The 23985-nt window shown below is 40.7% G+C and overlaps 1 protein-coding gene across 3 annotated transcripts in view; it reads right to left on the bottom strand.

Annotated features, from left to right (window-relative positions):
- Nucleotides 1-1443: 1443 nt before the first annotated feature.
- CRHBP (corticotropin releasing hormone binding protein) overlaps nucleotides 1444-23985 on the bottom strand; it is a 28115-nt gene continuing 5573 nt past the window's right edge. For 2 of the 3 annotated variants that reach the window (NM_001882.4, XM_047416736.1), the window contains 3 exons: nucleotides 23714-23862; nucleotides 19143-19260; nucleotides 13132-13875 (listed from right to left, as the gene is read on the bottom strand). In NM_001882.4, coding sequence (NP_001873.2) covers nucleotides 13718-13875; nucleotides 19143-19260; nucleotides 23714-23862 — 425 coding nt within the window. In that variant the 3' untranslated portion in view covers nucleotides 13132-13717. Of the gene's footprint in view, nucleotides 1643-6082; nucleotides 6239-13131; nucleotides 13876-19142; nucleotides 19261-23713; nucleotides 23863-23985 lie in introns of those variants that run through there. The other variant, XR_948235.4, reaches the window with a different exon arrangement.

The raw sequence follows: 23985 nt of genomic DNA, 5'->3' as shown, positions 1-23985 counted from the left end.
TATGAATGAGTAGCTGTATGACCTTGGGCAAGTATCTTAACCTATTTCGTTCTCCATTCCTTCATTGTAAAATGAAGAAAATAACACTACCTTCCACTTTTGATTGTTGTAAGATTAAATGAGATAATAAATGTAAACCGTTTTATAGTGCTTAGTATAATAATAAACACTGAATACATGTTAGCTCATATAATTTTTTTTGAGACAGGGTCTCACTCTGTCATCCAGGCTGGAGTGCAGTGGCACAATCACAGCCCACTACAGCCTCAACCTCCTGGGCTCAAGCAATCCTCCTACCTCAGCCTCCAGAGTAACTGGGACCACAGGTGCACACCACCATGCTGGCTAAATTTTAAATTTTTGTAGAGATGGGGTCTCCCATCTCCCAGTCCAGGCTGATCTCAAACTCCTAGGCTCAAGTGATCCTCCTGCTTTGGCCTCCCAAAGCACTGGGATTACAGGTGTGAGCCACTGTACCCAGCTAGATCATATTATTTATTAAATAGAAAGGCATTCAATACATGAAGAAGTGAAATGAGGAATTGAGGTGCTTTATGAGATTATGTAAGAATAAGAAACAAAACAAAATGATTGCAAGAGAAATTAGCAGATAGGTCATGCCTATAAGGGGTTACCTTGAATTAATAATTTTGTTCATCTGCATTCATCCAATAAAAGTGATCAGTTCTTCAGAGTATCTTTATGAATGTCACTTTTAAGGTAGTAATTTTCAAGAGAACTATTTTTAAAACCTGCAAAGTATCTGAGAATACCTATCTTTATAGTGAGGAGAAACAAAATGCCTAATATCCTAAACCACTGGCCCACTCAGATGCATGCTGGTGCACGTCATTCTATCCTCCATATCTTCCAACTTTTCTTCCAGAACTCATTTTCTCATTAGCTACGTCCAGTCTACTCTTGAGATCTATTGAGCTTTATATTTTAAGATGCTTTTGTTCATTTCTTAAATTTAGCTATTTTAAAAATTAGTCTTCTGGGTTTTCTTCCCCCATAATGTTCTGCTCTTGTTACACAGCGGCATTCCAGATTTTTCTGCAGTCCAGAATAGAGCACCATCACCATAGCATTTCAAGCTCATTCTAAGTTCATCTTATCAATGACAAGAGGAGACACGTTGTTCATTCATGTATGAGGTAGTACTTTCCAATTGAAGACATTGCTTTGAAAGAGACTGCCAAATTGGTTTCATTGAGAAGGAATGAAAGAAGCTAAAAGGCTTTCACCTGAGATTTGACAATAGCCAGAAAACCTCTGTTAATAATGAATGGTAAGTGATAACATTTAATTAGCATGGGTTATAAATAGAAAGACTATTGCTTGGAATTAACGTAGGCACAATCTTAAATTTCTGTGTAACTGTTGGCTGTTCCTTTTATAGTTTCTCCTAAAAATGGGAAATGACATCTCACAACCATTTTCTCCTCTTTTTAGAGATATTTTATTTGGTTGAGAACTGGGTTTTATTTTGGATCTCGCCATCTTCAACAGCTGTTTCTCAGTTAAGTGGACTGAGGTGATATTGAGGAGGTGCTAATGAGTCTATTGGCATCCATTCCTGTGCCTTTCGTGCTCCTGTATGTGGAAGTCAGTTTGATAGTGAACAAGGGGTCATGCAGGACTGTGCAGAGAAAGAAAAAAAGGACATGATGACCTCAGACCATTCATTGGTAAACAAAGATTTTGCAACAGCTTTGCTTATAACACATTATAGCTGAGTACAAGGAAAAATTTTTCGGAGCCCTTCCCGCAAAAATTAATAGTATTTGGCACATTAGGAAGGTTCTCCAGAGAAACAGAACCAATCAGATGTTCTCCTTCCCTTGGGGAAACTCCGTCTTTTTCCATATAAGGCCTTCAGCTGATTGGTTGAGGCCCACCCAACTTACGGAAGTAATTTGCTTTACTCAAAATCTACTGATTTAAATGTTAATCTCATCTGAAAATTGTCTTCACAGCAACATCCAGATGAGTTTGACTAAATGTCTTCGTTCTATGGCATCGCCAAGTTGACCAAATATTCAATGAGCTGTCCCATTAGGCCATTCTGAGAGTTGGAAATGGAATTGATTTGTTACAAAATCTTCAGACAAATACTCTAAAATAACTTTGAATGGTGTGTTTCGACAAAGAAATAAGGACCAGAATGCTTTCAGTGTCACTGCCATGCTGGTGGAAACCCTCCCTGAGAGCGGTGCTTCACACTCTATTCCAGCCACAGTCTCTAGCAGAGTAGTGCAGCAATAAAGCCAGCAAGCTTTGATGTCAGATCACTGAAGTCTGAATCCTGGCCCCACTGCTTTCTTTTTTTTTTTTTTTTTTTTTTTGAGACGGAGTCTCGCTCTGTCGCCCAGGCTGGAGTGCAGTGGCGCGATCTCGGCTCACTGCAAGCTCCGCCTCCCGGGTTCACGCCATTCTCCTGCCTCAGCCTCCCGAGTAGCTGGGACTACAGGCGCCCGCCACCACGCCCGGCTAATTTTTTTTTTGTATTTTTAGTAGAGACGGGGTTTCACCGTGTTAGCCAGGATGGTCTCGATCTCCTGACCTCGTGATCCGCCCGCCTCGGCCTCCCAAAGTGCTGGCATTACAGGCGTGAGCCACCGCGCCCGGCCGGCCCCACTGCTTTCTAACTGTGTGATTTACTTCTCCATGCTTCAGTTTCCCTATCTGCAAAGTGAAGATAGGTTTCAATGCTTCAACGCATAGGAAGTCTGTAGAACAGTGCAAAGAATATACAGGCATACCTTGAAGATATTACAGTTTTGGTTCCAGACCATCATAAAAAGGTGGATATTGCAATAAGGTGAGTCATACCAATTTTTTGGTTTCCTAGTACATATAGAAGTGATGTTTACAGTATAATGTAGTATACTAAGTGTGCAATAGCATTATGTCTAAAACAATGTACATACCTTAATTTAAAATACTGTATTGGTTGGGCACGGTGTCTCACGCCTGTAATCCCAGCACTTTGGGAGGCTGAGACAGGCGGATCATGAGGTCAGGAGATCAAGACCATCCTGGCCAACATGGTGAAACACCGTCTCTACTAAAAATACAAAAACTAGCTGGGTGCGGTGGCACGTGCCTGTAATCCCAGCTACTCGGGAGGCTGAGGCAGGAGAATTGCTTGAACCCAGGAGGCGGAGGTTGCAATGAGCCGAGAACACACCACTGCACTCCAGCCTGGAGACAAAGCGAAACTCTGTCAAAGAAAAAAACTTTATTGTTGGCCGGGCACAGTGGCTCATACCTATAAACGTAGCCCTTTGGGAGGCTGAGACAGATTGCTTGAGGTGGCAGGACCACCTGAGCCTGGGGAGGTCAAGGTTGCAGTGAGCTGTGATTGCACACTACACTCCAGCCTGGGCAACAGAGAAAGACCCCATCTCGAAAAAAAGGAAAAGAAAAGAAGAGACAAGAAAAAGAAAGAAAAGAAAAATACTTTATTGCTAAAAAATGCTAAAGGTCATCCCATCCTTCAGCGAGTCATAATCTTTTTGCTGGTGGTGAGTGTTTGATGTTGATGGGCTGTTGACTGATAAGGGCAGTGGTTACTGAAAGCTGGAACAGCTGTGGCAATTTCCTAAAATAAGACATCAATGGAGTTTGCCACATTAATTGACTCTTCTTTTTACAAAGCATTTCTCTGTAGCATGCAATGCTGTTTGATAGCATTTTACCTATAGTAGAACTTCCTCCAAATTAGAGTTAATTTTATCAAACTCTGCTGCTGCTTTATCAACTAAGTTTATGTACCATCTAAGTTTATGTACCATTCTAAATTTGTTGTTATTTCAACAATATTCATAGCATCTTCACTAGCAGTAGATTCCATCTCAAGAAACCGCTTTCTTTGCTCATTCAAAAGAAGTAACTCCTCATCCCTTAAAGTTTTATTGTGAGATTGTCCATGGGCTGCAGAATGGATGTTATGTTAGCAGGCATGAAAACAACATTAATCTTTTTGTACATTTCCCTCAGAGCTCTTGGATGACCAGGTGCATTGTCAATGAGCAGTAATATTTTGAAAGATTATTTTTCTCAGCAGTAAGTCTCAACAGTCAGGTTCAAATATCCAGTAAACCATGCTGTAAACAGATGTGCTATCATCCAGGCTTTGTTGTTCCTTTAGAGCCCAGACAGAGTAGACTCAGCATACTTCTTAAGGGCCCTAGGATTTTCAGAATGGTACATGAGCTTGGCTTCTTAAAGTTACCAGCTGCATTAGCCCCTAACGAGTCATTCTGTCCTTTGAAGCTTTGAAACCAGGTATTGACTTCTCTTTAGCGATAAAAGTCCTAGATGGCATCTCCTTCCAATAGAAGGCTTTTTTGTCTACATTGAAAATCAGTTGTTTGGAGTAGCCACCTTCATCAATGATCTTGCTGCAGCTTCTACATCAGCACTTGCTGCTTCATCTTGCACCTTTTTTTTAATGGAGATGGCTTCTTTCCTTAAACCTCATGAAGCAACCTCTGCTAGCTTCCAACTTTTCTTCGGCAGGTTCCCTCACCTCTCTCAGCCTTCATAGAATGAGAGAATATTAGGGCCTTGCTCTGGATTAGGTTTTGGCTTAAAGGAACGCTGTGGCTGTTTATGTATCCAGAACACTCAAACTTTCTCCACATCAGCAATAAGGCTGTTTTGTTTTCTTATCATTTGTGTATTCACTGGAGTAGCACTTTTAATTTCCTTCAGTAACTTTTCCTTGGCGTTCACAACTTGGCTAACTGTTTGGAATAAGACGCTTAGCTTTTAGCCTCTCTTGGCTTTCAACATGCCTTCTTCACTAAGCTTAATCATTTCTAGCATTTGACTTAAAGTGAGAAAACCTGGGACTCTTCCTTTCACTGAACACTTAGAGGTCATTGTAGAATTATAAATTGGCCTAATTTTAATATTCTTGTGTCTTAGAGAATAAGGAGGCCCGAGGCAAGAGAAAGGGAGACAGGGGAACAAACAGCCAGTAGGCGGAGAAGTCAAAACACACATTTATCCATAAGTTCACTGTCTTCTATGGGCACAGTTTGTGGCACCCTAAAACAATTACAATAGTAACAACAATTACAATAGTAACATCTGATCACAGATCACCATAACAGCTATGATAATAATGAAAAAGCTTGAAATATTATGAGAATTACCAAAATGTGACACAGACACATGAAGTGAACACATGTTGTTGGAAAAATGGCACCAATAGACTTGCTCGACCCAAAGTTGCCACAAACCTTCTACTTGTAGAAAACATAATATCCGCACAGCCCAATAAAGTGAAGTGCAATAAAACAAGGTATGCCTGTACTTCGTATTCAATAAATATTAGCTTTTACTATGATTCAAGAATAAAGCCAAACATTTTCTTATTATCAATCTTAGAGGTTTTTGAGTTTGTTTTGTTTTGTTTTTAAACCTGCAGCCTTACAGAACGTTACACCAGCCTCATCCCTTCCTACCTTTACCTGGCAGTTGGCGTGTCAGTGTCCCCTAAGGGGCACTCAATGTCAGCACTGGTTGTTTTTCATTGGAAAGGCCAGGATAGGGAAGGATCATAGAGGCCTCTGCTAATAAGCCTGGATGTGATGGGTGAAGGGATTGGCTTTTGCTGAGCAGATGGCAGAGTTGATCTACCATCTTCTTAGCTTTGCCAATGGACCACCCTATTTTAATTAATCGATGAGTAGATACTGTAGAGGTAAAGCCATTTCAAGAAAAAAAATAGTAATTGAATGTTATAAAAACAAGCTATTTTCTCTTTGCCAAATAAATTCTCATCAATTAAGGGAGCCAGCTCTATTTCCTTGAAATAGAAAACATTTTAGAAGCATTTAAGATAAAATTATATTACCAAAGACTTGACTGATAAGTTTTCTGAGAAAGGAACACTCATAGTTATAGTGTCTACCATGTGCCTTGACTGGTGCGTGGTACTTCATGCAAGCCATCGCATTAAAACGTAGGTGCTCCTGTTATACCTGACACGTAACGAAGCTGCTCAGAGCAGTGCAGGAACTTGCTCAAGGACATACAGCTGGTTAGTGGTTGAATAAGAACTCACCTCTACATTGGGTTCCTGAAGTCTGGGTTCTTCCCTCTCCATTCTGTTGACTATACTTATAGGTCTAGATCTTGCTTCTAAGGCTGGGCCCATCCATCTCTCATCCCATCCATTCCACACAGGATAGATTGCATTCTGGGCTGGTCCTAAACAAAACTAAGGAAATACAGTTTGTCTTTGATAACACTCCCAAGTCTATAGCAAACTTTGCTTACCTCTACAAACTTTCAGCCAGCTAGTGGCTTCATCAATACCTTGTTAGTTGTCCAGGTAGCTTTAATGGAGTATTTATTTACCTGGGTCTGTTTGCTTTTCAGCATCTCATACTCTTTCTTTTCCTGCTTATTACCCAATTTATTAGAGAGATCTCTTTGATGTAAAAAGAGAGGGTGAGGATGGGTGGGTAGGGGCCAGCATCTTATTATATATAAGATCACAGAGGCCTCTGCTAATAAGCCTGGATGTGATGGGTGAAGGGATTGGCTTTTGCTGAGCAGAAGGCAGAGTTGATCTACCATTTTCTTAGCTTTGCCAATGGACCACCAACATATATATATATATACACGCATATATATATATATATACACACACACATATATATACACATATATATACACACATATATACACGTGTGTATATATGCATGTATATGTGTGTGTATATATATATGCGTGTATATATATATATATATATATTTTTTTTTTTTTTTTTTTTTTTGAGACAGAGTCTCGCTCTGTTGCCCAGGCTGGAGTGCAGTGGTGTGATCTCGGCTGACTGCAACCTCTGCCTCCCGGGTTCAAGCAATTCTCCTGCTTCAGCCTCCAGAGTGGCTGGGATTACAGGCACGCACAACCACATCCAGCTAATTTTTTGTATTTTTAGTAGAGATGGGGTTTCACCATGTTGGACAGGCTGGTCTCGAACTCCTGGCCTTAAGTAATCCACCCACCTCAGCCTCCCAAAGTGTTGGGATTACAGGTATGAGCCACCATGCCTGGCCAGGACCTAATACTCTTAATTGCACTCACTACCCTCCCCTGTATTTGAGACTTTCCTGCCAATTCTTGTCATGTCATAATGATTAGCGATAATATATGGTCAAATTAATGACTGATTTATAAGTTAGTTCATTAACTAGTTACCACTATATGGTTTGAATCTTTAAAGTAATATGTTACTAATGAATTACTTGCTTAATTAAATATACATTTTGATAACAGAAGAAAAAGGGTTGTAAGGGTGGGCATTTCAGTAAAATGCAATATTTTCACTTAAGTGCTATCCCTGAAATCACAGTAGCTACCTGCTGTGCTGGTGTCTTTGGCTGGCTTGATTACATCTGAACCGTTAATAACACAAGACATGTTTTCTTAAACTTTAAAAACCTGGAAAGGAGAGTCAACAGGGGAATTGCATTTTCATACTAGGAACCCCCAATATCTAATAATTCTTCTAGTTACAAAGAGCATGGTTATTTCTAGCTCATCCAACTGTATGTCTTAATGTTGACATGAAATCTTTCCCCTAAAGCAAAAACACTTCCTGTTTTCAGTTTTTCAGCTGCAGAGGGATTGAGTACATGGTTGTTATCAAGAGCAAAGCCCAGAATCCAATTTAGAGACCTCTATTTCATTATGTTTTCAAATCCTCTAATCAAGCTTCTTTCTCTCACCCATATTTCCTCTCTCGTATCTCTGTTTCTTTTCTCTTTGTGTAGTTTGTCTTAACAAATGAAGAAAAAAACTTTAAAATGCAAAGAGAAAAATGGATGATAATCATTACAAATGACCCATTAGAACTGATGCCATTCAACCTACTTATTTGAAGATACAAAGGTGTTTCTGTTTTCTGAAATACTTCACTGCACAGATAAAAGTGTATTCAGATATAATTTCATATGACTACCCTACAATAGGCATTTCTTTCCACAACTCTCTTTTGGGTGCTTTTGAGCACATAAACAAACTGCCTACAAGTAAATCCTGTCCATCAAACCTTTGTTTTCCTTTCATGAAGATTCTACTTTGCAGACAAACTGGCAATGTTGCCTCCCAATTAAAATAGCAAGCAGCCTGGCATGGTGGCCCATGCCTGTAATCCCAGCACTTTGGGAGGCTGAGGCCAGCGGATCACCTAAGATCAGGAGTTTGAGACCAGCCTGGCCAATAGGGTGAAACCCCCTCTCTACTAAAAATACAAAATTTGGCCGGGCACCGTGGCTCACGCCTGTAATCCCAGCACTTTGGGAGGCTGAGGCGGGTGGATCATTTGAGATCAGGAGTTCAAGACCAGCCTGACCAACCTGGTGAAACCCCGTCTCTACTAAAAATACAAAAATTAGCCAGGCATGGTGACACATGCCTGTAATCCCAGCTACTTGGGAGGCTGTAATTCCAGCTACTTGGGAGGCTGAGGCAATAGAATCACTTCAGCCTGGGAGGCAGAGGTTGCAGTGAGCCAAGATCATGCCACTGAACTCCAGTCTGGGTGACAGAGTGAGACCCTGTCTAAAAATAATAATAATAATAATAATAATAACGATTTAGAAAATTAGCCAGGTGTGGTGGCACGTGCCTGTAATCCCAGCTTCTCGGGAGGCTGAGGCGGGAGAATCGCTTGAACCCTGGAGGCAGAGATTGCAGTGAGCTGAGATCGCGCCCTACACTCCAGGCTGAGTGACAGAGCAAGACTCTGTCTTAAATAAAATAAAATAGCAAGCAAGAGAAGTTTGAAATTAGGAGAAATCTGGAAAAATCTGTGTCACAAAAATTTGTCCTGAGTCAAACATGTTTTCTCTCTAATGAAAAACTACATAGCAGATGAAGAAAAACTCATCTGGTAAAAGGCAAAATTAAATAAATATAGAAGCAGAAAGACTAAGTTGTTATTATGGACTTATTTTGCAGCCAGATTCACTAATGAATGTTTTAAACTAATATTGAAGAGAGGGCAATTCAGTGTGAGAAGACTGATATAAAACTGACTTTCATCCATTGCTGAATCCAATAGCAGGAGTTATCCTGAAATCCTTAGATGCTCTTCAGGGGTTTGTGAACTCTCAGGTATTTGCATGGTATTTTTGTATGTATAGAGATATTTTACTGGAAAACAATTTCTAGCTCCTGTCAGATTTTCAAAGAGGTCTAAGGATCACTGTTCTAAGACTATTTAAAGAATGTGGAAAGGTTGCATATGGTTATACCAGTTAAAGCTTAGTTTTCATAAGATCAAAGATGTGCATTTGAGGTATTTTTCTTTGGAAGAGTCAAGTCAGGCCTGTCTGGATAGTTGCAACGAAAACAGACAGAATAGCTAAGAATTGGATTTAGACAGGCCCATTGTATGAAGTATGATAATAGTGCTATATATATTTATCTCAGTGGCTTAACAAAATAAAAATTTATTTCTCATTCATACAAAGTCCAATGTGGATATGCATAGTCAATAGGCAGCCGTCTATGTGGTCATTCAGAGATGCAGGCTTCTTGCATCCTATGGCTCTGTTTTCCTGTATGGCCTTGGAGTCCTCTGTTCAAGCCTCTGTGTCTAACAGATAGTAGGTATGGGAAGAGAGAGAAGGTGTGGAGGATCATATCAAGGGGTGGACATCATATCCACCCACATTCTTTCTGTGATAATTCAGTCACGTGACCAAGCCTAACTGTAAGAGAGGTTGTAAAGTGAGTTCTGATGAACATATAGCATTTCTGCCCTACCCACTTAAATGAAGCAACAGTACCAGGGAGTAGTTGGAGGTAAAGAAGACATGCTGCTTTATATACTAGGAGAAAGTCCAGTATCATAGGCAGATCAAGATATTCCATAGATGGCAGGCTCGAAGACAGTGGCAGAAGAGGCAGGATTAGAGGAGGTAGAAAAGGATCCACAAGGCTGGGTGCAGTGGCTCATGCCTATAATCCTAACATTTTGGGAAGCTGAGGTGGGTGGATCGCTTGAGCCCAGAAATTTGAGACCAGCTTGGGCAACATAGTGAGACCCTGTCTCTATAAATTTTTTTTTTTTGAGACGGAGTCCCTCTGTTGCCCAGGCTGGAGTGCAATGGCATGATCTCGGCTCACTGCAATCTCCGCCTCCCGGGTTCAGGCGATTCTCCTGTCTCAGCTTCCCAAGTAGCTGGGATTACAGGCGCCTGCCTCCATGCCCGGCTAATTTTTGTGTTTTTAGTAGAGACAGGGTTTCATCATGCTGATCAGGCTGATCTCGAACTCCCAACCTCAGGCAATCAGCCTGCCTCGGCCTCCCAAAGTGCTGGGATTACAGGTGTGAGCCACTGCGCCCAGCCTATAATTTTTTTTTTTTTAATTAGCCACAGGTAGCATGCACCCGTGACCCCCAGATACTTGGGAGGCTGAGGTGAGAGATCACTTGACCCCAGGAAGTTGAGGCTGCAGTTAGCTGTCACTGCACTCCAGCCTGCATAATAGAGCAAGACCCTGTCTCAAAAGAAGAAAAAAGAGAAGCATCTAGAAAATTAGATGGTGACAGTGACATAAAACCTATGAGCAAAAATGCTCAGAATTTTAGACATGTAGGCAGGAAGAATTTGAGAAATCAGTTATTGGTTGTAGAAAGCAGATCCCTAGTCCCCTAATTGGTATTCAGAAAGACCTATAGGTAGGAGTGAGAGATAAAAACAGGGCCAGACAAGAACTACTACAATGAAATAACCAAGATCTGAAAGATTACAGAGATGGAGAATGGGGCAGAAGGGCAGATAGTCCAGACAATTTATGAGACAATTTGCTCATGACCAGAACGTCAGACAAGAGCTATTCAAATTCCTCTTGCCCAAGGTCAGGATTGGTCCTGGAGCAGTGCAGTGCCTGCAGACAGGGGTGAGCTGTGAGAAGAGATGTGTGTGAATTAGATAAATCCTGACATGATCTACCCTCAAACGTTAGGATTAGGGTGAGGATTAGGGCTGGGGTTACTATGCTTCTCAGTGACAGGCAACAACCTTAACTAACCCTAGCTTCCTCACAAATGTCCTGGGATGAAACAGTATAATTGAATTAGTGCAAATCCTTCAGCGTACAAAGCAAATGTCCCAATAAGAGTACGGAGGACCCAGAATGGCATATTTGCTTAGAAGAGAGAAAAATAAAAATAACAGCCAACACATGTGAGACACAGGTCTTGAGCTTTAAATATATCTAACCATTTAATGTGGCCAAAAACCTTTTGAAGAAGGCACCTTTCTCCTTCTGTAAAGGTACTGTAAATTACCCAAATTTTACAGATTAAAAACTAAGGAATGGAGACTTATAAGTGACTTGCTCAAGTCAGTGGTAGAGCTGGGATTCCAAGAGGGTTGGCTGCAGAGTCAATGACCTTAACCACTACGCTATACTTCCTTTCTTAGAAAGTCATATTGTTTCATATAAACTTTTACTCGCTTGATGGATATACCAATGAAGACACAACCTATAAATCTCCCCCGGAGATTTCATTTACCATTTTGTTTCCAGAAAGCTGCCCCATCCTTTTGGAACATAGGCTAAGTAGTAGACAGTCCAAGAAAAAGACATGGACAGTTCACCAGGGTGGACATCCTCTCAAAGAATGTAACCTGTTGTTCACTAACAAGCTTTGAAGTAAAGCATGTCACAAATGACCACAGAATGTCAGGGCTTAAGGACCACAGGAGCACCTGTCTTACTGCAGAGAGGCTAATCAGCTTGCAAAATCCCTTAGGAATAAAAGAAGTTTCCTAACTTTGATGGTGAGATGTAATAGAAAAGTGTATTTTACTCAGCATGAGGGAATCATGAAGGTTAAGAGCCAGAAACTTCTGATGGTGATAAAAGTAACTTCCTTAATTCTTGGGTTGCTAGAGTGACTATCTTTTTTAAGAAAAGGGTTCAACCTCCTGCTTCATAGAATTTAGTTTCTATGAAATGAAGAATCCAATATTTTATATAACTAATCAAGAATTATAGTCATCCGTCATCCATCCATCCATCCATCCATTCAAGCATTTATTCATCATTTGCTAAAGTAGTCACTCATTCCAAAATACCTACTGAGCCAAAACTTGTGCCAAATCCTAGGTATTTGAAACACTTCCAATTAGTTGGGTTTTTTTTTTCTGCCTGGTTTTCAGATTTTGTGAACAAGCCCAGTGTATAGGATCCCAGTATATGCCAATCATATTAAATATGTTTCAGGAACCATAATAAGGCCATTAATTATGGCATAGTTTGAAGCTTTCATCTACTAATCCAAAGTAAAGAGTTCCCTTAAAAGAATTTTCTAGCCGGGCACAGTGGCTCATGCCTGTAATCCCAGCACTTTGGGAGGCCAAGGCTGGTAGATCACTTGAGGTCAGGAGTTTGAGACCAGCTTGGCCAACATGGTGAAACCCTGCCTCTACCAAAAATACAAAAATTAGCCAGGCATGGTGGCGCACATGTAACCACAGCTACTTGGGAGGCTGAGGCAGGAGAATCGCTTGAACCCAGGAGGTGCAGGCTGCAGTGAGGTGAGATTACATTACTGTACTCCAGCCTAGGTGACAGAGCCAAGACTGTCTCAAAAAAAAAAAAAAAAAAAAAAAAAAAAAAAAGAATTTTCTTTGTAGCTTAGAACCTTCCTTTTTGCTCCAAGATGTCTTTTACATACTACACACTCAGTTTTAAGCCAAACACGGAACAAAGCTCAGTCAACAGTAAACTGCCTTCAGTATCAAAGAAGTATTCAGATTTCTGCAAATTGTGTCTATGAGAGTTGTTGTAAGGTCCTTGCTGTCTTTGTAGAAATGTATATCGTGACAAAAACACGTATTCTGAGGATAGCGGAAAATGAATCTCTGCACCCGCTTCCCTGCCAGGACCAGCTAGTGTTGCCTGTGCAAACACTGCAATTCTACCTCTCCTCTAAATAATTCTACTTCAATGGCCCAGAGTTCTAGCTCTGAGAAGTCCAAAATGATTTAGTTCAGCATTTGGCTCTGCACCACATGATAACATTATTTTCTGATGGTAACAAGAAAGAGGACTACTCAGGAAAGCAAATAAAGCCCAACATCATGGTGCCAACATTCTGAATGTATTTATTCATGTTTGTATTTGTGGATGGAAAATTTTTTCCATGCTACAAAGTTTGGTTAAAAACAAGTTGTTACAAATCAATAAATAATTGCTATAACTATTACCTATTGTAACAATAATAAATAGAAAATAAACAGATGCAACTACTTTGCTATACACAAGACTTTATCCTGTTATAAAACTAATATAAGTGCTGCCACTTTTCTTTCTTTGAGTATTTTCCCTTGAGATACGATTTTTGTATTGCACGTTGCTTTGTGCTTGTCTTACCAGTTTCAGGTTTGTAGCACATCAAAGAATTACAAACATTTCCATTTAGAACTATGATCCTACCAATCAGGGGTTATTTTCTGCCATGTGTTCATTTACAGATTACAAACATAAAAGAAGCAAAGTACAAAAATTAATGCGTGTGTGTATGTGTGTGTGTGTGTGCGCGCGTGCGCTCAAGGCTGGGAATACTGACTGGTATGAAAGGCTTTTAACTAGTTGTGCATCAAAATCATACACAATGGCCATTAAAAACTCACTTAGCTATCAGCATGTAAATCACTGGGTTGGTTATTCAAAGACCAGACAAACAGAATTCCCCGATACTGTTTCCATTTGGGTTTTCCAGCTCGTACGGCTCCAGCTGACGATACTCAAAAGTCACACGATTTACGTGTTTTCCACTGGAGACCATGCGCACCACAGTGTTGTCACAGCCAACTTTCATCTGGGCTATAATGGATGGAAAAGATAAAAGTTTCCCAGCAGGTTAGAAACCACACAGTCATCATTTAAATGACGGGATCACTTAAACATAATGAAAGCAAGGAGACCTATCTTCCTCTCATGTACCCAAACCATGCATCTACTATCAGTTGAAATGTTTTTGTTTCATTTTTATTATAACTTATAATTAGTTATAGAATAGTGCAATTGAATTCAGTCTTTCTCCTCATGTGCAAGAACACTATTAAAAAATAAAACTAGCTGGAAAGAGGCAAGAAGATGTCTCCTCGGCCTTTTTTGCCTGCAAAGCCTAAGTAGTAAAGGCAGGCAAAGGCAATCAGTCTGGAGTGTGCACAGTTGCTCGGGTTCAGGGATTGCAGTGGAAACAGTACGGCCCTCTAAGGACAGGTCGGAAATTTGCAGTGGCAGTTTTTGGTTGTCACCGATCTAGGGTTGCAAGGGGCATTTAGTGGGGGCTAGAGGATGGAATGTACTGCGGGACATTTATGTAGACCAAAAAAAAAAAAAACAAAAAAAAACACCTGTTTATCATTTTCTGAATTTATACAAAAACTGTTTTATACATAAACAAAAAGATCATTTGCATCGTATAGACATACACTGAACATACTAGTTTTTGTTTTATTATCCACTTACAACTTTTCTCTGATTTTTTCTGTACTATTTATATGAAATGGCTTCTGATATCCTTGCTTCTCTTAAATCCAATCTTATTCAGCTGGGCACGGTGGCTCATGCCTGTAATCCCAGCACTTTGGGAGGCCGACGTGGGTGGATCACGAGGTCAGGAGTTTGAGACCAGCCTGGCCAACATAGTGAAACCCCGTCTCTACTAAAAATACAAAAATTAGCCAGGCATGGTGGTGCGCACCTGTAGTCCCAGCTACTCGGGAGGCTGAGGCAGAAGAATTGCTTGAACCTGGGAGGCAGTGGTTGTGGTGGGTCGAGATCACACCACTGCACCCCAGCCTGGGCAACAAAGTGAGACTCCATCTCAAAAAAAAAAAAAATCCAATCTTATTCATTATTTATATAAGATCTGACAACTTTTATATCTCCTCTGTATGGGTTATATATTGAAACTCATATTACTTTTATTAAGAATTACTTTCCTTTTATTTATTCTATTTGTTTATCCAAGCTGATTCCTGAGGCAAGATTTATCTGCTCTACAATAATCATTTCTGCTGTTTTAGTTTTCTCAATCTTTCTTTTCCTCACTTTGTCTCTATAAGGTGTTTTTAAATTTTAAGAAATGCTATCATTGTCCTCGTGTAATGGGTACCACTCAAACACATACCTGGGTTTAAATGAAGTAAACAGTTCAATAGAGTTATTGAGATAAAAGTCAAATGGATGACATAATAAATAAAAGCCCTATAATTATTTTAATATAAGTACCAGGTAGTCTAGTTAAGCTTCTACCAGGAGGTCCAAATTTCTTTTTCTTTTCCTTTCCTTTCTTTTTTTTGTGGCAGGATCTTGCTCTGTCATCCAGGCTGGAGTGCAGTGGTGCCATCTTGGCTCGCTGCAACCTCTGCCTCCCAGGTTCAAGTAATTCTCCTAACTCAGCCTCTCCAGTAGCTGGGATTACAGTTGTGTGCCACCACACCTGGCTAATTTTTGAATTTGAATAGAGATGGGGTTTCACCATGTTAGCCAGGCTCGTCTCAAACTCCTGACCTCAAGTGATGTGCCCGCTTCAGACTCCCAAAGTGTTGGGATTACAGGCATGAACCACCACACCCAGCCAAATTTATTTTTCATTAAACAGTTTGGAGGTCATTCTTTTTCTGATCTTACTCTGGACTTTAATCTTTATAACATGTCCTATTTTCTTTACTTATTATTTATTTATTATTTTGAACTAATTCCTAACAAAATCCAATGTAAAGGGCAGGGTCCTTAATAGTTCAACACTGAACAACTCAGGAGGGGCTCATGGAAATATGATAAAGAAAGAAAAGAATTAAGGCAGGAGAATAGGGTCTGGAGGCAGGGAACTTAAGGTCAATTCATGCTGAATCAAGGAAAAACACCAAGGCCTGGTGGCAGGGAAACTGAGGCCAATTTGTGCTGACTTCCCAAAGCTGGATCAAAAGGAAAACACCTGGGTCTGGGGGCAGGGAACCTAAGCCCAATTAATGCAAACTTCCTAAAGCTGAACCAAAAGGAAAAACCGCATCTCCCCCAAGCCCAAGTAGCGACGGATCAAAGGCTAGTCTCCCTACAACCCTCCCCTTCCACCACATCTCACAAGGAAAGGGAGAGTGCCTTGTACTGGCCGTGGAACAAGCATGGGCTATCTCTTCATCTGCATAGGGTGCCAATTCACCTCAGCCTTTACCCACAAACCAAATCCTTCATCCAGATAAAGGGTAATTGATAGGAACCTCAAAAGGAGCAGTGGCTCACACCTGTAATCCCAGCACTTTGGGAGGCCGAGGTGGGCAGATCACCTGAGGTCAGGAGTTCGAGACCAGCCTGACCAACATGGAGAAACCCCATCTCTACTAAAAATACAAAATTAGCCAGGCGTGGTGGCACATGCCTGTAATCCCAGCTACTCGGGAGGCAGAGGCAGGAGAATCACTTGAACCCAATAGGTGGAGGTTGCGGTGAGCCGAGATCGCACCATTGCACTCCAGCCTGGGCAACAAGAGTGAAACTCCATCTCAAAACAAAAGAAAGGAGTACTTGAAACCCAGAAAACTTTTGTAACCGGGCCCTTGAGCCGCTCGCTAGGGTCCACTCCCACCCTGCGGAGTGCTTTCTCCCTTTAATACATCCCTGCTTCGGCTACTTTGTTCCTGTGTTTCATTCCTTTGTTACTTTGTGCGTTTTGTCCAATTCTTTGTTCAAAACGCCAAGAACCTGGACAACTTACACTCAAGGCCCTCCTTCCAGTAACGGAATAAAGTCTAAAATGAACCAAAGAGTGATATAATTCAAGCCTTAAAATTGTCTTAAAAGTGGTTTCAGTTACCTAGGTAATGTAGGCAAAAGTGGTTTTCTGGCTTTAGAATCACCTTTTTTTCTAATTCAAGTTATATCACTCAAGCGGAAAAATGACTTTGGCTTCAATTATCTAAATTGTAAGGCCTGATTGTTCTTTAATCCTTGTCTTACTTTTTAACCCAGCTGAGGTATATCTCCTCAAAGGTGCTCTCCAATCATGAGCATGGAAGTACTTTAGTGCCTCAGATCATGCACCCAAAAGGCTAAAGAAGCCGCATGCACTGACAGTTTAAACCATGGCTCAAGTGTCAATTAGCATTAGAGAATCCTCTAGTTTTCCGCAAAGTGGGATTTTGGAAATCTTTTGCCTTTACCTTGATTAGAAAGCTTGCTTTGAGCCCACTCCTACCTTAAATCTCATCTGAAACTTTTAGAATATAGGTGTATCTGGGGGAGGGTGGAGTGCATATCAGGCTTTAGTGCTGACTTTTGTATAATTCATCCTTTGGTATCCTCAGGAGATTGGTTCCAAGATGCTCCCCATCCCACGGATACCAAAATCCACAGATGTTCAAGTCCCTTATGTAAATGGCTACCTTTTACCTTTACCTATTTCCATGTAAACTACACACATCCTCCCATATACTTTAAATCATCTGTAGATTACCTATAGTACCTAATACAATGTAAAAGCTATGTAAATAGTTGTTATACTGTATTTTTTTGTGTGTTTTTTTTTTACCTGATTCTTTTCTTTTTTTTTATTTTATGGGGTGTGGTCTTGCCATGTTGCCCAGGCTGGTCTCAAACTGCTGGGCTCAAGCGATCCTCCTGCGTCAGCCTCCCAAAGTTCAGGAATTACACTGAATATATATATATTTTTTGAGACAGAATCTCACTCTGTCTAGTCTCGCTCTGTCATCCAGGCTGGAGTGCAGTGGCACAATCTCAGCTCACTGTAACCACCACTGCCCGGGTTCAAGCAATTCTCCTGCTTCAGCCTCCTAAGTACCTGGGACTACAGGTGTGCACCACGATGCCTGGCTAATTTTTTTATATTTTTAGTAGAGACGGGGGTTTCACCATATTGGCCACGCTGGTCTCGAACTCCTGACCTCAGTAATCTGCCCGCTTCGGCCTCCCAAAGTGCTGTGATTACAGGCGTGAGACACCGCGCCTAGCCTACGCTGAATATTTTCTATTACAATTGGTTGAATCTGTGTATGGGGAACCCACAGTTAAGAAGGGCTGACTGTATGTTAATTCTATTTTGGAGATGTTTTGTCCATCATCAACTCAGAGTCAGAAAATACTGGTGGTCTGGCCTGGTTTTAATTATTACAGGTAACAGCTGATCAAGAGGACTGTCTGCTTTGCAGCTTCATTGCCTAGCTGGTTAATGATCTGCAGTGACAGGAGAGGAAGGAGGCTACAGTAAGAATTAACTGAGATTAGAGACTGCTGTTCTTCTTCTGTTTTGTCTCGTTAATGTTAATCTAGGACTCCTGTGTCTGAAGTAAAGCTATGGGAGTGACCTTTACAGGAATGTTTTATGACTCCTCTCCCCCACCTCCCCGAGACTTCATTGAGTTATCTGGTCATGAGGTCATGAAGTCCCATCCATCCTCACCTGACATGAGCATAAAAAAGTGAAAATACTCACTTGTCTCTGACATAGATCTGGTTCTATTTGGCATATGCTGTGCCAAATAAACCAGTCTTCTATTACTGGTGACCGCTTTTAGATTTCAGAATTTACCTCTGTGTTACACTGGCCTTTGAGAGGCTAGTTTAGCCATAAGAAGTTATAGACTTAGCAGTTCTAAGAATTTCTAATAAAGCTTATCACTTTGTTGTTTATTTACTATGAGTAACACACACACATACATACACATACATAAAAAACAGTTATTTCATTATTATCCTATTACTAATTGATGATACATCTACTATTTGAACCATAAGTGTTTCAGTTAGTAAACTCTTTAGTCTCTAGAAAATGAAAGCAGAGACCCCCAAGAAAATGGAAAGAATGCAGATTTTAAAAGCTTTGTCTTTTTCATAGTTTTACTTAAGGCCAACCTTTATTGCTTCAAAGGTTTCTCTCCCAGTGTCGGATATTTTGGTAAAGATACTGATGTTATATATAGCCTCAAATCCTCATACTGGCTCAGTGTGAAAAATTGAAGGCTTTTTTGGCGAAACTCACCTTCCAATGTAGAAAATATTAGGGGAGTGCTTATTTTTTTTTAATCTTGATAGGCACATACATAACAATCAAAGAAATACCTCACCCGGGCCATGAAAGGGGTAGCAGAGATCAGCTAAAGGCGTCATCTTGGAAGGGTCCAATCCAGTTCCTCCCAGCAGCTCCACAAAGTCTCCTATTCCCTCGCAACCTGCTGAGGATTTCTAAGGGAATAAAGCAGCAGAGAAAGACACATTTAAACCAATTACAGAAGTCAAACCATTTGACCAACAGCGGGTCCATGAATTCACTCAATCAGCCCTCAACATCCTGGCAATACCATTTAATTTAACATCTGGGACTCTGGAAATTAAAAGACATTTAAAAGAGAAAAAATCATAAAAATTGCTTTTCTAAATCAGTTGAGTAATCATTTTTTTTAGAAATGTGTGTACATGTTTTTTTCATTTTTTTTAAGCTCAAGGACTGGAATGATAAAATGGAAATCTGTAAACTCCATATAAGATGTGTGGAAATTCAACCAAAAAATGCTTTACTTTTCAAATCATTTGGACATACATACTGAATCACTCCAATTTCTTAATGCATGCAGTCACAGCTAAGCGAAGTCAAATACCTACATTTTATAAATAGGGCTTTCACATCCGTTTTTCCTTCACCTCATCTCTTTTCTTCTTCTTTGTAAAGGAAATTTGTGTGCTATTGGAACACCTCATTTCTAACAATAAGAATTTTGATTAATTATGAGTATGTTAAAGAAATAATAAAACCCTGATTTGGGGCCCAAGTTAGCTACAGTTACCATGATCTTTCTCCTTTCAACTAAAACAAATTTATTTCAAGCTACTCAAAAGAATTCATTCTAAAGCTTTGTGTGGTCCACCATGATCACCTTTTCCTGCTTCCCCCTTTTTTTTTTTTTTCAATTTTGTAGAGATGGGTCCTTGATATGTTGCCCAGGCCGGTCTTGAACTCCTAACCTCAAGGGATCCTCCTGCCTCGGACTCCCAAAATGCTGGGATTACAGGTGTGAGCCACCTCACCCAGCCTTTTCATTTTTTCCACACTGTCTTGTCCATAGCAATCCCCGTGCCTCACTTTCCAACACAAACAAAGCAACCACTCTTAGTCCCAAAAGTACTCTGAGCCCCCATCTCCCCAGGGCAGTCTCACAAGTATGCCACCTGTGCAGCCACAAAAAGCCAGTGCCTAGAAGGGCTCTATGCTTGGTTTAATGTTCTGCTGCATTTTCATAAAATTGTAATAAGGGCTCCCACATTTTCATTTGTACTGGTCCCCACAATTTTGCCTGTGATCCTCTTTTTCATTGAAGTGTGCTCATTAAGAGATCTAGTAGAATGTGACAAGGTGCTCAGTACTTCACTAGATAGACCTTAACACATAGGAACCAAAATCTAAAATAGAGAACTTAATACACACACACACCCACACACACACATAAGCACACACATTCAGGCATTTAGAAGGGCACTGACCAGCATGGTGGCTCACGCCTGTAATTCCAGCACTTTGGGAGGCCAAGGCAGGTGGATCATTTGAGGTCAGGAGTTCGAGACCAGCCTGGCCAACACGGTGAAACCCCGTCTCCACTAAAAATACAAAAATTAGCCAAGCGCGGTGGCACACACCTGTAGTCCCAGCTACTCGGGAAGCTGAGGTGGGAGAATCACTTGAACCTGGGAGGCAGAGGTTGCAGTGAGCCAAGATCACGTCACTGCACTCCAGCCTGGGCGACAGAGTGAGACTCTGTCTCCGAAAAAACAAAACAAAACAAAACAAACAAAAAAACACAGAAGAGCATTGGAATACAACTGGAACTAAACAGCAAATTGGAAAATAACATAATGGCAACTGCTTCACTAATGAGCAGGGGCAGGTGGGGATACATATTTTTAAAGGGCCTACCTACTATGTACTGGGTTTGATGCTTAGAGGCTTTATACATAATTGCATCAAATGATGAAAGAGGTTTAATTAGCCCCACTGTATACAGGGCTTCATGTTCTTGTATTGAGAGTGGAATAAGCAATTTAGCAGTAAAGGAAAAAAACTTTAATTGCCTTTCCCTTGAGTAGAGGATGTCCAGGAGGAACATCTCTTACAACTAAATTTTCCACTTAGTTTTATAGGTTCCAAAATTCAGCAGGTGCTGTTGCAGGCAAAAAGGCAGACTCAGGAGAGAGAAGTAGGAAATAAAGAAGCTAGGAAGAAATAGAAACTAAAGTGAGGGGAACAAAACAAAGAAACAAGAAAGTTAAGTGCACTTATTCCTTGCTGTTCAATGATTTTTCTCCCTTCTTTGCAAACCTCTCAGCTTTTCTTACAATGGCAGAAACTGAGTTATGCAGGGACCTCTCAAGTTCAGTTTCTCAACAGGGATTCCCTAAATTTCTTTGTTCAGGTTCTAAGCCACTACTATCTTTTGCCTAGCCCACAATAATGTACCAAAAAAGTACTTGGCCAGGAGCAGTGGCTCATGTTTGTAATCCCAGCACTTTGGGAGGCCGAGGCGGGCAGATCACAAGGTCAGGAGTTTGAGACCAGCCTGGCCAATATGGTGAAACCCTGTCTCTACTAAAAATACAAAAAAAAATTAGCCAGGTGTGGTGGCTCATGCTTGTAATCCCAGCTACTCAGGAGACTGAGGCAGGAGAATTGCTTGAACCTCGGAGGCAGAGGTTGCAGTGAGCCGAGACTGCATGTCTGCACTCCAGCCTGGGCGACAGAGCGAGACTCCATCTCAAAAAAAAAACAAAAAACAAAAAACAATAAAAAGTACTTACATTCCTTGTACCAAATGTAAGATCCTCACACCAACTCAATGTGCAAAATTGAAGGTTTTTTGGTTTTGGTTTTATTTTGGTGGAACTCATCTTCCAATACATAGAAATCTGGGAGGTTTAAGAAAATAATCTTGATAGATATGTTAATAATAACTAAAGAAACATCTCACCAGAGCCATAAAAAGGGTGGCATGGCCCTACAGCCCATTCATTGCATGGAAGCCACAGTGACGTTTTAGACAGCATACATCAGATCATGTTGCTTTCCTCCCTGAACTCTTTCAGTGGTTTACCACTGCACTTAAACTCCCTAATGTGGCCTGCAGGGCTCACCACACTCTGGCCCTGCCCATCTCCCTGAAGCTGTTTTATGCCAATCCTCCTCTTCTTTCCATGTCTGGAATCCAGCAAGCCCATTCCTGCCTCTGAGCCCCTGCACTGTTCCCTCTGCTCCCTGTTCTCACAGCTGCTGGTTCCTTCTGATCTATCACCCAGGTCTCACTTCTCAAAAGGTTTCTTTCCTGACCACTTTATCACAAGTAGCCCCGCGCCTCTCCATCCACCCCCATGCTCCCAGTCACTGTCTACCACACTACTCTGCTGCATTTTCTGTATAGCACTTATCACCAACTGAAATACATGGCAATTTTGCCTGTCTCATCCCACTTGAATGCAGGGTCCCTGTGAGCAGGACCTGTCTTGTTTATTGCTAATTTCCAGCATCTACAATAGTGCCTTGCACATGGTAAGCATTCAAAAAATATTTTGTGAAGGAACAGATGCCTAGAACACTGTAGGCTCTAAATTGTTCGGGAGGAAACACCAAGATTACCCCCATAGCCCCAATAACTAAAGTGCAGATCTCCCAGTCTGTGCTCACACCTTTCATCTTCTATATTTTACATCAAAAATGACATACAAATAATATCAAGCCAGTAAAACTGTACCAAAGATACCCAAAAATGTCCTTATCAAAGGACTATTCTTCCACTAAGTTCCAACTTAAAAAAAGCAGGCACTAGTCCATGAATTTAGGGCTTAAAGGAAATTGGATATACTCCTTTTCTCAGTCCTAGTTCTATTTATTTGGTTTTCACTAAAATCTGTCTGATTAGGAATTATGACTGCCTTTGATAGCAGCAAATACATGAGTTATCTTAACCTAGTCATGTGAGAAAGTAGAAGGAAATGAGGATGACTCAGAGGGAAAATGCTACCAGTGCAAGAAAATGCGGTCAAACTCAGCATGAATTTTAAGGTCCATACAGAAGTTTATTCAAAAACAAGTTGATAGGGGTTCTTGGCTAATATTTTTTAGGCAAAATGTATTGAGTTAAATGTCATGCCAAATACTTTTCAAAGCTTTACTGTATTTTGCAATCTAAAAATCCAATTTTGTATTTTATGCTACAGTTAGCACTCCTTCACAACGCAGTTCTGTCAATGAGATACTTCCTTCATGTCAAAAGAAAATTCCAATAATCAGAAAAACAGCTGTGTAGATGACTCACACTACGTTCTGCTAGGAGAGAATTTTTGTAAAAGAGGCAAGTACAAGAGAGTTCAATTGTAATTATATACCACAACTTTACCAATTGAAAACACTTCTTACATCACAGGGAAAGTATTCAAGTAGTCAGAAGGGGCACCTGAGTATGCAACTTGCCGCATAACTGAAATAGAAGAGGGGGTTAGTCAAAGCAGCTAGGGCAAACACATTTGAGATTTAAGAGTTCATCAGAGCAACGTACTACGCCAATTTGCTAGTGTCCAGGTTTTCCCTATATGATTGCTTCTGCTCTGATAAAGTTGTGGCCTTATCAAACGGTTAGGAAACAAGTAAGCAACTCACCTTTAACTGAAGACCATTTACGTGTCCCAGGGTAAGATCAGATATTTTGATCACCACAGGATAAATTATGGAGAAGCTGCAGTTTCGATGCTGGTGTGGAACTACCAGGGTAAACTTTCCATTTGGAGTCTGAGAAATGACATTGCAAGCTTTGTAGAAAAGAAAAAGAAATTCACGTTTCCTTTACTTGGTTTGCTAGGTTTTTATAGACATTTATTGTATCTTATTCTAGGGCTCCTGTTCATGATCTAGGGCCTTCTGCCCAGGAAGAG

This window comes from Homo sapiens, chromosome 5 (assembly GCF_000001405.40).
Source record: "Homo sapiens chromosome 5, GRCh38.p14 Primary Assembly".
NCBI lineage: Eukaryota > Metazoa > Chordata > Mammalia > Primates > Hominidae > Homo > Homo sapiens.
Note: the sequence above shows the minus strand (reverse complement) of the source record. Positions and strands in the feature narration are given on the sequence as shown.